This window comes from Homo sapiens, chromosome 13 (assembly GCF_000001405.40).
Source record: "Homo sapiens chromosome 13, GRCh38.p14 Primary Assembly".
Classification (NCBI taxonomy): Eukaryota; Metazoa; Chordata; class Mammalia; order Primates; family Hominidae; genus Homo; species Homo sapiens.
This window is the reverse complement of record NC_000013.11, coordinates 75,237,406-75,253,068: the sequence shown is the minus strand read 5'-3', so window position 1 is coordinate 75,253,068 and position 15,663 is coordinate 75,237,406. Positions and strand designations below refer to the sequence as shown.

Sequence of the window (15,663 nt, the reverse complement as noted above, 5' to 3'; positions counted from 1 at the left end):
AAATTTGTCCACCTTCTCCACAAATGCTACCTCTGCTTATCAAGAAATATAGGGAGACTTTGTCAGGGTTCATCAGGTTCTATCTTTTCCCCAGGTAATAGTGCCTGCTAGTCTTACTTTTGTGTAACTAAGAGGAGCCAGTTAAGCGACTCTTGCCTGAACAAAATAAAGTCTGCTCCAAGGTGCCTTGTTATGTCCATCCATAGATTCAAGAGTTCTTGGATTCAATGTTCATTTTAAAATTTCTTCTTCACATGCATTCTCTTTATCAAGTCAACAGAAAGTGTTAATAGTAACCAACCATTTCTGGGCAATAATATTGTAAAATATAACTTTATTTTTCTCTTATTTTTCTCAATAGATACATGCTATTTGAAAAATAAAATGCTAAGAGTTAGTAAAATAAAGAAATATAAAGTAAATAAGTTCATAGCTTTAGAGTAAAAAATATCAGCTGCACATGAGAGAGCTGGAATTTATCTTTGAAAATAAAACATGACATTGTCTATAGGTTTCATCCTCTGTTACTTCAAGCCAATTATAAATGAGTTTATAAAAATGTCTATTTACCTGCCCTGTTTGCTTACTTTGTAAAACGAGAGTGCTAGTAACAGATGATGCATACAATCTAAAGACATTTGCTCTGGGTTTTTTACTTAGTTTTGTTTATGGTGCTTTGCATACATATAAGTTTAAATTCTATTTTACCCTCTATTGTGTAATTTATTTTTTATAAAGCATATAAAAATAGAAAAGTAATTCTAAAACTTTTATTGTAGAAATAGAACCAAAGTGTTGCCTCCATTTGTGCTTACATACCATTTTATGTTAACCTAAAATTTTCTAAGATGGATAGCTCATCCATTGGCGTTTTTTCAGGAAGGCTGGCAAAATCTCTCAGGCAATCTCCTTCATATATGTTAACATTTATAAATATGATTTTAATGTTGCTTTAATCTCAAAACATATCATCAAAACAGAATAATCCTAGAGCAACACTTTGCTCTTTCAATGCAAAGTAGACTAGAGGAACGCTTTTAATCATTTTTTGGTTGAATTGTCCTTCGTCAGTTACCTTGTCATATATGCTAAATGATGTCCAGCAGAGCACGGTGGCTCACGCCTGTAATCCTTATCTTCTCTAAGACTTGTGTTTGAAAACTGTTCTCAGTTAAACCCTGTTCCATTTAGTTGTAGAAAAATCAAAAATATAAACTTTTTTTGGGCACAAAGCTTGTTTTTAGCTTCCAGGGCTGGATATTCATATGTTTTGAGTCCAGGAGTTTCAGACCAGTCTGGGCAACATAGAAAGATCTTGTCTCTACAAAAAAATAAAAACAGAATTAGCTGGGTATGGTTGTATGTGTAGTCCCAGCTATTCAGGAGGCTGAGGTGGGAGGATTACTTGAGCCCAGGAGGCTGAGGCTGCATTGAGCTGAGATCGCACCACTACACTCTAGCCTGTGTGACATAGTGAGACCCTGCCTCAAAAAAAAAAGAAAAAAAAAAGAAAAAAAAGATATCCAAACATTTGAGAAAGACAACATATGCGGAATGTGCTCTTGATTGACTAAAATATGAAATCCCCTATATCAGTTCAAAATGGTGAGGGAGCAGCTCATTTACTCCTCTGACTTCGTGGGACTGGAGTTACAACAGTGGGAACTGTGATAACTCACACTTCCTGCACAGCTGGGCGGATGAGAAAAATGATTTCATTAGGAAGAAGATTCCAGAATGGAAGTGAGTTGCTTTTACAAATTTCATAGTAAAAACAGCTTTTCCTACTTTCTATATTCCTATTCTGCAAATGCGTGGCACATTTCTGTCTGCTAGGTTACTTTTCTAATTTGATTCTGGTTCCTATTTGAAACTGCTTTGAGTAAGTTAAAGGGAGGGTGCAAAGGTTTCTTTGCAGGGAGGTGGGAGTGCTCAGCCACAGAAACTTCATTATCCTCTATAGGCTATTTGTGGTCAAATGTCATGGAATTCAGAGGCAAGAGATCCCTTGTATTAGGTCACATCTATTAGATTATTTCATGATTCAATGAGTCATAGAATCAGAGATTGTTTTAGTTGGAAAGAACCCTGGTGATTTATCTAGTCCAGCGGTTCTAAACTGGCTGGGAACTGTGGTGGAGGATGGGGTGGACGAGGGGCGCGGTGTCAAAAGCCACATGACAGACCTCCTCTTCTTGATCAACCCCATCTTCTCCCAATTATGGCAGGTAAGAATCTCCCAGAGGTAAGAATATATATATATATATGGAAATATCTCGGGGGTTCTGTCTGATAGGATTCTCTGGCGGACAGCCATACATTTCATAGTCATATGTTTAAGAAAATGAGAAAAGAAATTCCAGAAAAGTGAAGTAATCCCCATCACTGATAGACTCAAGCCCAGAGACCTAATTCTCAGTCCATTTCTCTTGTAACTCGATTGAGGAAATTAAGTATTTAAATATACCTTCCAAGTAATCTCTTTCCTGTGTTATTCTTCAGAATAGGTACATAGAGTGCAAATGTTGATATAATCCTATTTAGTTCTTTTCTGATTTGTGAAGGTATGTGGACAAGTTGTAACACATCTAGACAGAAACAGGAATCAAACAGAATTATTGAAGAGGGACTGTTCCTTTGTTTTTCTCCTATTGTGGCACTAGCATATTTTCTTAGTGGAGAGACTCAACTCAGTCCCTGTATCTTTCTGAAAATGTCCCTAGATAGGTTGTTTAAATTAGACTTTTATAAAAAAAGTTAAAATGTTAAGTCATGAATCCATTAACTCATATTATTGGATGAGATCTCTCTATTTTTTTTTTTACTTTACAGATAATAACTACATAAAATATGCAGTGAGTTTGAATATTAACTTCCAATTCTTTCTCACTCAATGAGTGCTGGCAATACTTAGCTAGTATACCTAGTAGAATTGCCAGGCTTCTGGCCTGGGCCATTGTCCTTTTGTTTCTGACTTTGTAGATCCTGTTCTATAGATTCATCACAATCTATACTAGACTGGCTGCTTCAGGGTTTGTGTGTACAACATGTGGAAAGTTGGACTTTCTTCATGTACTTGTTCAAGGTATACAAATATCTAGATACTAAGTCTTGTTTAAGTGCATTAACTTCTTTATAGAATGCCTTGTAAAAGACAGGCCACCTGCTTTACTATAAAATATTGGGGATATGCTTTTTGTCTCTCTTTAATCTGAATGCCTAGTATCTGTGTTCTTTTTCACCTGCATCCTCTCTGCCAAATCTATTAAGTTTAATGCCAGCAGATGAGTTTGATCTTTCTGGGTGGGAAGCATCCCTTCCCACTTAAGGTCTCAACTGAAAGTGAATGTCTATTGGATTAAAAAAAAAAGACACTTCAGATACATCTCATGCTTGGAGGTGTTCTTATTTAAACATTTCACATCTGGTTGGATACAGAGCAATCTTCTGGCTGCTCCTAGCTTCCAATGCACAAGCTCACTCACTGCCACCCATATCTCGGGCCAACTAATGTGATTTTAAATGTTCTAGTAGTCGTATTAACAAGAGTAAAAAGGAACATGTAAAGTCAATTTTAATAATATATTTTAGGCCAGGCGTGGTGGCTCACGTCTGTAATCCCAGCACTTTAGGGGGCTGAGGTGGGTGGATCACCTGAGGTCAGGAGTTCAAGACCAGCCTGGCCAACACAGTGAAACCCCGTTTCTACTAAAAGTACAAAAAAATTAGCCAGGTGTGGTGGTGTATGCCTGTAATCCCAGCTACTAGGGAGGCTGAGGCAGGAGAATCGCTTGAACCTAGAGGCAGAGGTTGCGGTGTGCCGAGATGGAGCCACTACATTCTAGCCTGGGCAACAGAGCGAGACTCCATTTATATATATATATATATATATGTATCTTAGTTAATCCAGTATAGCCAAAATAACATCATTTCACCATGTAATCAACATAAAAAGTATTAATGAGTTATTTTACATTCTCTATTTCTTACTAAGTCTGAAATCTGGCATATATTTATACTCATCTCAATGTGAATGCTAAATGCAGAATATTTATTGTCAGTACTTGATCTGTATCCAGATTTCATAACATTTCTGGTTGAAAAGTAGAGCCACACATCCAAGATTTTCCAAACATACTTAAAATATTCCAATAACTAAATTGAGTATCAAAACATAATTTTCCTCTTATATTCACATTCACATTGATAAAACCAGTTCATGTTTTGAGAAGAATTAATTTGACTTTGAAGCCAAGTATGAATTTCAAAACTATACCTGTGTAAGTTAAGTAAATTTACTAACTCTGGTGTCAATATAGTGTTAACATTGAATTCAAAGGGGGTATACATAAATTGAAAAACAACTTTAAATTAATCAATATTTTTCTTGTGGTCTTACAGCCAGTTTATATAACATTATAAATTGCTGTTAAAATCTTGTGTATATTGATTCATGCTAGAAAAATGAGTAAAATAATTATTTACATGTATTATGAAAAATTTAGATTTCAATATAAATGTCTGTACTTGTCTGTCTAAGTCACAAATAAGCTTTCCCTTTTCTCAATAGTTCACATTTAGCTCATTCACATGCAGTGTGAGATCTGTGAGAAATCATAAATCATATTGCCCCTTTTGTCTTTGATTTTTGAATATTTGGCAAATATTCCCTTTGTTTCAAGAAAATCTTGAATAGGAGTATTAACAAGTAAATTGAGGCATATTAAAATATTAAAGAGTTTATATGAGCAAACAGCAAATCATGCAGCAGACAGCTTTAAACCAGAAGGGATCCAGGGACTGAGGTATTTGAGGGAAAGCTGCTATAGGGTAATCATGGACGCAAAGCAAATAAATTATTTGATTGGTTAAAGTATAGCAGTAGCCTCATTTGGAACATGCCAGTGGACAGTCCTAGTTGGAAATTAGTTGGCAGTTTCTGGTTGGTTACACTTAAATTTCATTTTGTTGATTTATTTTTTTTGAGACGAGCCTTGCTCTCTCTCCCAGGCTGGAGTGCAGTGGTGCAATCTCGGCTCACTGAAAGCTCTGCCCCCCAGGTTCATGCCATTCTCCTGCCTCAGCCTCCCGAGTAGCTGGGACTACAGGCACCTGCCACCACTCCTGGCTAATTTTTTTGTATTTTTAGTAGAGACGGGGTTTCCCCTTGTTAGCCAGGATGGTCTCGATCTCCTGAGCTTGTGATCCACCCGCCTCAGCCTCCCAAAGTCCTGGGATTACAGGCGTGAGCCACCGTGCCTGGTCAAATTTCATTTTTTTTAAGAATATGACTGTTTACACTGGAGCTACCTCAGCTAATGGCCTCCCAAGTAATTATTTTAATGGAAATTAACAGTACAATAAAGTTTTGTAAAATGCTTCCACAACCCAAACAAACAGCATTCACAAAGAACACAAGGTCTTTAATCTATTGCCTTCTATTTGTTTTAATGATTCTATTAACTGACAATGATTAATAGTTTGCACATATTTAATGAGTGATTTTAACAACTGTATCTGCAACACTTGTCATAGAGCCTGCTTCAGAAAACTAAGCAGAAATATTTTAAATATCTATTATACAGTGGTAGAAAGAAATGAGGGAAATGTCAGTCTCTTATTTTAAAATTTCAGTAAATCTGGATTTTTAACCTCACCAAGCTGAAGCATTATTTATCATGACAGAAACCATTTTTTTTCTTATCCTGTTGAAAATGTTTTGACAGATATACAAGATTAAAAAATATCTATTCTGGGGTGGAGCCAAGATGGCCAAATAGGAACAGCTCCAGTCTACAGCTCACAGCGTGATTGACGCAGAAGACAGGTGATTTCTGCATTTCCAACTGAGGTACCGGGTTCATCTCACTGGGGAGTGCCAGACAGTGGGTACAGGACAGTGGGTGCAGCGCACCGTGTGTGAGCCGAGGCAGGACGAGGCATCGCCTCACCCGGGAAGTGCAAGGGGTCAGGGAATTCCCTGTCCTAGTCAAAGAAGAAATGGGTGACAGATGGCACCTGGAAAATTGGGTCACTCCCACCCTAATACTGCACTTTTCCAAAAGGCTTAACAAACGGCACACCAGGAGATTATATCCCGCGCATGGCTCGGAGGGTCCTATGCCCACGGAGCCTCACTCATTGCTAGCACAGCAGTCTGAGATTGAACTGCAAGGCTGCAGCGAGGCTGGGGGAGGGGCGCCCACCATTGCTCAGGCTTGAGTAGGTAAACAAAGCGCTCGGGAAGCTCAAACTGGGTGGAGCCCACCACAGCTCAAGGAGGCCTGCCTGCCTCTGTAAGCTCCACCTCTGGGGGCAGGGCACAGACAAACAAAAGACAGCAATAACCTCTGCAGACTTAAATGTCCCTGTCTGACAGCTTTGAAGAAAGTAGTGGTTCCCCCAGCACGCAGCTTGAGATCTGAGAATGGTCAGACTGTCTGCTCAAGTGGGTCCCTGACTCCCGAGTAGCCTAACTGGGAGGCACCCCCCAGTAGGGGCAGACTGACACGTCACATGGCCAGGTACTCCTCTGAGACAAAACTTCCAAAGGAACGATCAGGCAGCAGGATTTGCAGTTCACCAATATCTGCTGTTCTGCAGCCACTGCTGCTGATACCCAGGCAAATAGGGTCTGGAGTGGACCTCCAGGAAACTCCAACAGACCTGCAGCTGAGGGTCCTGACTGTTAGAAGGAAAACTAACTAACAGAAAGGACATCCACACCAAAAACCAATCTGTACGTCACCATCATCAAAGACCAAAGGTAGATAAAACCACAAAGATGGGGAAAAAACAGAGCAGAAAAACCGGAAACTCTAAAAATCAGAGCACCTCTCCTCCTCCAAAGGAACGCAGCTCTTCACCAGCAACAGAACAAAGCTGGACAGAGAATGACTTTGACGAGTTGAGAGAGGAAGCCTTCAGAAGATCAAACTACTCCGAGCTAAAGGAGGAAGTTCGAACCAATGGCAAAGAAGTTAAAAACTTTGGAAAAAAATTAGATGAATGGATAACTAGAACAACCAATGCAGAGAAGTCCTTAAAGGACCTGATGGAGCTGAAAACCATGGCACGAGAACTATGTGACAAATGCACAAGCCTCAGTAACTGATGCGATCAACTGGAAGAAAGGGTATCAGCGATGGAAGATGAAATGAATGAAATATGAATGAAATGAAGCGTGAAGAAAAGTTTAGAGAAAAAAGAATAAAAAGAAATGAAAAAGCCTCCAAGAAATATGGGTCTATGTGAGAAGACCAAATCTAAGTATAATTGGTGTACCTGAAAATGACGGAGAGAGTGGAACCAAGTTGGAAAACACTCTGCAGGATATTATCCAGGAGAAATTCCTCAATCTAGCAAGGCAGGCCAACATTCAAATTCAGGAAATACAGAGAACACCACAAAGATACTTCTCGAGAAGAGCAACTCCAAGACACATAATTGTCAGATTCACCAAAGTTGAAATGAAGGGAAAAATGTTAAGAGCAGCCAGAGAGAAAGGTCGGGTTACCCACAAAGGGAATCCCATCAGACTAACAGCGGATCTCCTGGCAGAAACTCTACAAGCCAGAAGAGAGTGGGGGGCCAATATTCAACATTCTTAAAGAAAAGAATTTTCAACCCAGAATTTCATATCCAGCCAAACTAAGCTTCATAAGTGAAGGAGAAATAAAATACTTTACAGACAAGCAAATGCTGAGAGATTTTATCACCACCAGGCCTGCCCTAAAAGAGCTCCTGAAGGAAGCACTAAACATGGAAAGGAACAACCAGTACCAGCCACTGCAAAAACATGCCAAATTGTAAAGACCATCAAGGCTAGGAAGAAACTGCATCAACTAATGAGCAAAATAACCAGCTAACATCATAATGACAGGATCAAATTCACACATAACAATACTAACCTTAAATGTAAATGGGCTAAATGCTCCAATTAAAAGGCACAGACTGGCAAATTGGATAAAGAGTCAAGACCCATCAGTGTGCTGTATTCAGGAAACCCATCTCACGTGCAGAGACACACATAGGCTCAAAATAAAGGGATGGAGGAAGATCTACCAAGCAAATGGAAAACAAAAAAAGGCAGGGGTTGCAATCGTAGTCTCGGATAAAACAGACTTTCAACCAACAAAGATCAAAAGAGACAAAGAAGGCCATTACATAATGGTAAAGGGATCAATTCAACAAGAAGAACTAACTATCCTAAATATATATGCACCCAATACAGGAGCACCCAGATTCATAAAGCAAGTTCTTAGTGTCCTACAAAGAGACTTAGACTCCCACACAATAATAATGGGAGACTTTAACACCCCACTGTCAACATTAGGCAGATCAACGAGACAGAAAGTTAACAAGGATATCCAGGAATTGAACTCAGCTCTGTACCAAGTGGACCTAATAGACATCTACAGAACTCTCCACCCCAAATCAACAGAATATACATTCTTTTCAGCACCACACCACACCTATTCCAAAATTGACCACATAGTTGGAAGTAAAGCACTCCTCAGCAAATGTAAAAGAACAGAAATTATAACAAACTGTCTCTCAGACCACAGGGCAATCAAACTAGAACTCAGGATTAAGAAACTCACTCAAAACTGCTCAACTACATGGAAACTGAACAATCTGCTCCTGAATGACTATTGGGTACCTAACAAAATGAAGGCAGAAATAAAGATGTTCTTTGAAACCAGCAAGAACAAAGATACAACATACCAGAATCTCTGGGACACATTCAAAGCAGTGTGTAGAGGGAAGTTTATAGCACTAAATGCCCACAAGAGAAAGCAGGAAAGACCTAAAATTGACACCCTAACATCACAATTAAAAGAACTAGAGAAGCAAGAGCAAACACATTCAAAAGCTAGCAGAAGACAAACAATAACTAAGATCAGAGCAGAACTGAAGGAAATAGAGACACAAAAAACCCTTCAAAAAATCAATGAATCCAGGAGCTGGTTTTTTGAAAAGATCAACAAAATTGATAGACCGCTAGCGAGACTAATAAAGAAGAAAAGAGAGAAGAATCAAATAGATGCAATAAAAAATGACAAAGGGGATATCACCGCTGATCCCACAGAAATACAAACTACCATCAGAGAATAGTACAAACACCTCTATGCAAATAAACTAGAAAATCTAGAAGAAATGGATAAATTCCTCGACACATACACTCTCCCAAGACTAAACCAGGAAGAAGTTCAATCTCTGAATAGACCAATAACGGGCTCTGAAATTGAGGCAATAATTAATAGCTTACCAACTAAAAAAAGTCCAGGACCAGACAGATTCACAACCGAATTCTACCAGAGGTACAAGCAGGAGCTGGTACCATTCCTTCTGAAACTATTCCAATCAATAGAAAAAGAGGGAATCCTCCCTAACTCATTTTATGAGGCCAGCATCATCCTGATACCAAAGCCTGGCAGAGATACAACAAAAAAATAGAATCTTAGACCAATATCCTTGATGAAGATCGATGCAAAAATCGTCAATAAAATACTAGCAAACCGAATCCAGCAACACATCAAAAAGCTTATCCACCATGATCAAGTGGGCTTCATCCCTGGGATGCAAGGCTGGTTCAACATACGCAAATCAATAAACGTAATCCAGCATATAAACAGAACCAACGACAAAAACCACATGATTATCTCAACAGATGCAGAAAAGGCCTTTGACAAAATTCAACAACCTTCATGCTAAAAACTCTCAATAAATTAGGTATTGATGGGACGTATCTCAAAATAATAAGAGCTATCTATGACAAATCCACAGCCAGTATCATACTGAATGGAGAAAAACTGGAAGCATTCCCTTTGAAAACTGGCACAAGACTGGGATGCCCTCTCTCACCACTCCTATTCAACATAGTGTTGGAAGTTCTGGCCAGGGCAATCAGTCAGGAGAAGGAAATAAAGGGCATTCAATTAGGAAAAGAGGAAGTCAAATCGTCCCTGTTTGCAGATGACATTATTGTATATCTAGAAAACCCCATCGTCTCAGCCCAAAATCTCCTTAAGCTGATAGGCAACTTCAGCGAAGTCTCAGGATACAAAATCAATGTGCAAAAATCACAAGCATTCTTATACACCAATAACAGACAAACAGAGAGCCAAATCATGAGTGAACTCTCATTCACAATTGCTTCAAAGAGAATAAAATACCTAGGAATCCAACTTACAAGGGATGTAAGGGATCTTTTCAAGGAGAACTACAAACCACTGCTCAATGAAATAAAAGAGGATACAAACAAATGGAAGAACATTCCATGCTCATGGGTAGAAAGAATCTATATCGTAAAAATGGCCATACTGCCCAAGGTAATTTATAGATTCAATGCCATCCACATCAAGCTATCAATGACTTTCTTCACAGAATTGGAAAAAACTATTTTAAAGTTCATATGGAACCAAAAAAGGGCCCGCATTGCCAAGTCAATCCTAAGCCAAAAGAAAAAAGCTGGAGGCATCACGCTACCTGACTTCAAACTATACTACAAGGCTACAGTAACCAAAACAGCATGGTACTTGTACCAAAACAGAGATATAGACCAATGGAACAGAACAGAGCCCTCAGAAATAATGCCGCATATCTACAACTATCTGATCTTTGACAAACCTGAGAAAAACAAGCAATGGGGAAAGGATTCCCTATTTAATAAATGGTGCTGGGAAAACTGGCTAGCCATATGTAGAAAGCTAAAACTGGATCCCTTCCTTACACCTTATACAAAAATTAATTCAAGATGGATTAAAGACTTAAACATTAGACCTAAAACCATAAAAACCATAGAAGAAAACCTAGGCAATACCATTCAGGACACAGGCATAGGCAAGGACTTCATGTCTAAAACACCAAAAGCAATGGCAACAAAAGCAAAATCGACAAATGGGATCTAATTAAGCTAAAGAGCTTCTGCACAGCAAAAGAAACCACCATCAGAGTGAACAGGCAACCTACAGAATGGGAGAAAATTTTTGCAATCTACTCATCTGACAAAGGGCTAATATCCAGAATCTACAATGAACTCAAACAAATTTACAAGAAAAAAACAAACAACCCCATCAAAAAGTGGGCAAAGGATATGAACAGACACTTCTCAAAAGAAGACATTTATGCAGCCAAAAAACACATGAAAAAATGCTCATCATCACTGGCCATCAGAGAAATGCAAATCGAAACCACAATGAGATACCATCTCACACCAGTTAGAATGATCATTAAAAAGTCAGGAAACAACAGGTGCTGGAGAGGATGTGGAGAAATAGGAACACTTTTACACTGTTGGTGGGACTGTAAACTAGTTCAACCATTGTGGAAGTCAGTGTGGCGATTCCTCAGGGATCTAGAACTAGAAATACCATTTGACCCAACCATCCCATTACTGGGTATATACCCAAAGGACTATAAATCATGCTGCTATAAAGACACATGCACATGTATGTTTATTGCGGCACTATTCACAATAGCAAAGACTTGGAACCAACCCAAATGTCCATCAATGATAGACTGGATTAAGAAAATGTGGCACATATACACCATGGAATACTTTGCAGCCATAAAAAAGGATGACTTCATGTCCTTTGTATGGACATGGATGAAGTTGGAAACCATCATTCTCAGCAAACTATCGCAAGGACAAAAAAACCAAACACCGCATGTTCTCACTCATGGGTGGGAATTGAACAATGAGAATACATGGACACAGGAAGGGGAACATCACACACCGGGGACTGTTGTGGCATGGGGGGAGGGGGGAGGAATAACATTAGGAGATATACCTAATGCTAAATGACGAGTTAATGGGTGTAGCACACCAACATGGCACGTGTATACATATGTAACAAACCTGCACGTTGTGCACATGTACCCTAAAACTTAAAGTATAATAATAATAATAATAATAATAATAATAAAATGCAACCACTAAGCTATAAAATGCAACCAAAAAAACTGTTAAAAAGAAGATACACTATAAACACTATGAATAACAACATGGAATTCTAAAACAAATGTTCAAGTGACCCACAGGAAGTCATGAAAAATAAGCAGAGAAACAAGAATTGATACAGAAAACAAAAAATGTCAGGCTTATGCACTAAAGTATCAACAATTAGTTTAATTATGAATGGTCTACCAAGGGACAGATAATAGAAGAGTGTATTTAAAAGTATGACCCTTTCTTATATGTTTCTTGTATGCTGTGTACAAGAAACTTGAAATTTACCAATACAGGGGAGGCCAAATTAAAAGGATGAAAAAAGATACATTACACAAACATTAATGAAAGGAAAGCAACAGTGCCTGTATGTATATCAGATAAAGCAAAGAAAATTACCAGAAACAGAGAGATTATATAATGATCAAAGGTTTAATCCATGAAGAAGACAGCAATTTCAAAAGTGTATTCACCAAAAAGTGCTTCAAAATATGTGATGTGAAAACTGCCAGAACTGAAGCGGGTCGGGCTGGGACCAGCGCTGCCTCAGGATGTAAAGTGTAACAAGGGGGCCAGGGAGGGTTGGGGATGCAGTATGGGCCTGTGAAGCCTGTGGGTGCCCGCGTTCCCCAGCTCCCCCCGCAGCCGGCTCCGCAGTGGTCCGCTCCGGTTGGTTGCCGCGTGCGGATTCGGGTTCCAGACCCAAGGCTGCGTGTTCTCCACCGTTTGTTGTGGCCAGTGTTACTGTGGTGACCGCCAGAGCAGCCTTCGCGCTATGGAGGAGCCCGGTGCTACCCCTCAGCCCTACCTGGGGCTGGTCCTGGAGGAGCTACGCAGAGTTGTGGCAGCACTACCTGAGAGTATGACGGCAGATTCGAATCCTTATGGTTTTCCATGGGAACTGGTGGTATGTGCAGCTGTTGTTGGATTTTTTGTTGTTCTCCTTTTTTTGTGGAGAAGTTTTAGATCGGTTAGGAGTCGGCTTTATGTGGGAAGAGAGAAAAAACTTGGTGAAACGCTTTCTGGACTAATTGAAGAAAAATGTAAACTACTTGAAAAATTTAGCCTTATTCAAAAAGAGTATGAAGGCTATGAAGTAGAGTCATCTTTAGAGGATGCCAGCTTTGAGAAGGCGGTAGCAGAAGCACGAAGTTTGGAGGCAACCTGTGAAAAGCTGAACAGGTCCAATTCTGAACTTGAGGATGAAACCCTCTGTCTAGAAAAAGAGTTAAGGGAAATCTAAACATTCTCAACAAGATGAATTGATGGCGGATATTTCTAAAAGGATACAATCTCTAGAAGATGAGTCAAAATCCCTCAAATCACAAATAGCTGAAGCCAAAATCATCTGCAAGATTTTTCAAGCGACTGAAGAACGATGGGCAATAGCAATAAAAGATGCTTTGAATAAAAATTCTCAACTTCACGAAAGCCAGAAACAGCTTTTGCAAGAAGCTGAAGTATGGAAAGAACAAGTGAGTGAACTTAATAAACAGAAAATAACATTTGAAGACTCCAAAGTACATGCAGAACAAGTTCTAAATGATAAAATCACATCAAGACCCTGACTGGACACTTGCCAATGATGAACGATCAGGCTGCTGTGCTTGAAGAAGACACAACGGATGATGATAACTTGGAATTAGAAGTGAACAGTCAATCGGAAAATGGTGCTTATTTAGATGATCCTCCAAAAGGAGCTTTGAAGAAACTGATTCATGCTGCTAAGTTAAATGTTTCTTTAAAAACCTTAGAAGGAGAAAGAAACCACATTATTATTCAGTTATCTGAAGTGGACAAAACAAAGGAAGAGCTTACAGAGCATATTAAAAATCTTCAGACTCAACAAGCATCTTTGCAGTCAGAAAACATATATTTTGAAAGTGAGAATCAGAAGCTTCAACAGAAACTTAAAATAATGACTGAATTATATCAAGAAAATGAAATGACACTCCACAGGAAATTGACAATAGAGGAAAATTACTGGATAGAGGAAGAAGAGAAGCTTTCTAAAGTGGAAGAAAAGATCAGCCATGCCACTGAAGAGCTGGAGACCTATAGAAAGCTAGCCAAAGATCTTGAAGAAGAATTGGAGAGAACTGTTCATTTTTATCAAAAGCAGGTTATTTCCTACGAGAAAAAAGGACATGATAATTGGTTGGCAGCTCGGACTGCTGAAAGAAACCTCAATGATTTAAGGAAAGAAAATGCTCACAACAAACAAAAATTAACTGAAACAGAGTTTAAATTTGAAGTTTTAGAAAAAGATCCTAATGCACTTGATGTTTCAAATACAGCATCTGGCAGAGAGCATTCCCCATATGGTCCCTCACCATTGGGTCGGCCTTCATCTGAAACGAGGACTTCTCTCTCCTCAAACTTTGTTGGAGGATCCACTCAGACTCTCACCTGTGCTTCCAGCGGGAGGAGGAAGAAGCCCAAGCGGCCGAGAGAATCCTCTGGACCATCAGATTACCAATGAAAGAGGAGAACCAAGCTGTGATAGGTTAACTGATCCTCACAGAGCTCCTTCTGACACTGGGTCCCTGTCATCTCCATGGGAACAGGACCATAGGATGATGTTTCCTCCACCAGGACAATCATATCCTGATTCAGCTCTTCCTCCACAAAGGGAAGACAGATTTTATTCTAATTCTGATAGACTGCCTGGACCATCAGAACTCAGAAGTTTTAATATGCCTTCTTTGGATAAAATGGATGGGTCAATGCCTTCAGAAATGGAATCCACTAGACATGATGCCAAAGATGATCCTGGTAGTTTAAATGTGCCTGATTCATCTCTCCCTGCTGAAAATGAAGCAACTGGCCCCGGCTTTATTCCTCCACCTCTTGCTCCAATCAGTGGTCCATTGTTTCCAGTGGACACAAGGTGCCCGTTCATGAGAAGAGGACCTCTTTTCCCCCAACCTCCTCCAGGAACGATGTTTGGAGCTTCACAAGGTTATTTTCCACCAAGGGATTTCCCAGGTCCACCACATGTTCCATTTGCAATGAGAAACATCTGTCCACTGAGGGGTTTACCTCCTTACTTTCATCCAAGACCTGGATTTTACCCCAACCCCACATTCTGAAGGTAGAAGCGAGTTCCCTTCATGGTTGATTCTGCCTTTAAAGGAGCCTGCTACTGAACATCCAGAACCACAGCAAGAAACCTGACAATATTTTTGCTTTCTTCAAAAGTAATTTTGACTGATCTCATTTTCAGTTTAAGTAACTGCTGTTACTTAAGTGATTACACTTTTCTCAAATTGAAGTTTAATGGAATTGTAGTTCTCAGGATAGTATTTTGTAAATAAAGATGGTTTAAATATGAATAAAAAATAAAAAATATCTATTCTACAAGTTTGAGTTTTCAGGCTGTCAATTGACAACATTTCTTCATAAATTTGAAAGTCCTCAGACGTGCTCTTGAGACACTCATAAAGGACGTGGTTTTACATGCTATCCATATGATGAAGACTTCCATACATATCATATGCTCAGCCCTAATCTCTTTCCTGAATTCTAGACTCAAATATCCAATATCTACTTAACATTTCCAAATTCTTGATGCTCCTGCCAAACTGCCTTTTTACTTAGTCTTCAATAAATGATAACTCCAGGCCAAAACTCTGAGAATTATTTTCAACTCTTCTCTTCTCTTCACACCCTATGTTTAATCCATCAGCACATCTTGTTGACATTACCTT

General features: G+C 39.2%; 1 long non-coding RNA gene and 1 pseudogene across 2 annotated transcripts; one reads left to right on the top strand and one right to left on the bottom strand.

Moving 5' to 3' along the window:
• Positions 1-1,056: 1,056 nt before the first annotated feature.
• Positions 1,057-12,481, bottom strand: LINC01078 (long intergenic non-protein coding RNA 1078). The gene is made up of 3 exons (NR_132375.1): positions 12,427-12,481; positions 2,468-2,588; positions 1,057-1,321 (listed from the first exon to the last, which is right to left on the bottom strand). It is a non-coding gene; the product is annotated as a long intergenic non-protein coding RNA 1078 (long non-coding RNA).
• Positions 12,482-12,687: 206 nt separating this feature from the next.
• CTAGE11P (CTAGE family member 11, pseudogene) lies at positions 12,688-15,316 on the top strand (annotated as a pseudogene). Its single transcript, NR_027466.1, has one exon. The product of NR_027466.1 is annotated as a CTAGE family member 11, pseudogene (transcript).
• The last annotated feature ends 347 nt before the right edge of the window (positions 15,317-15,663 follow it).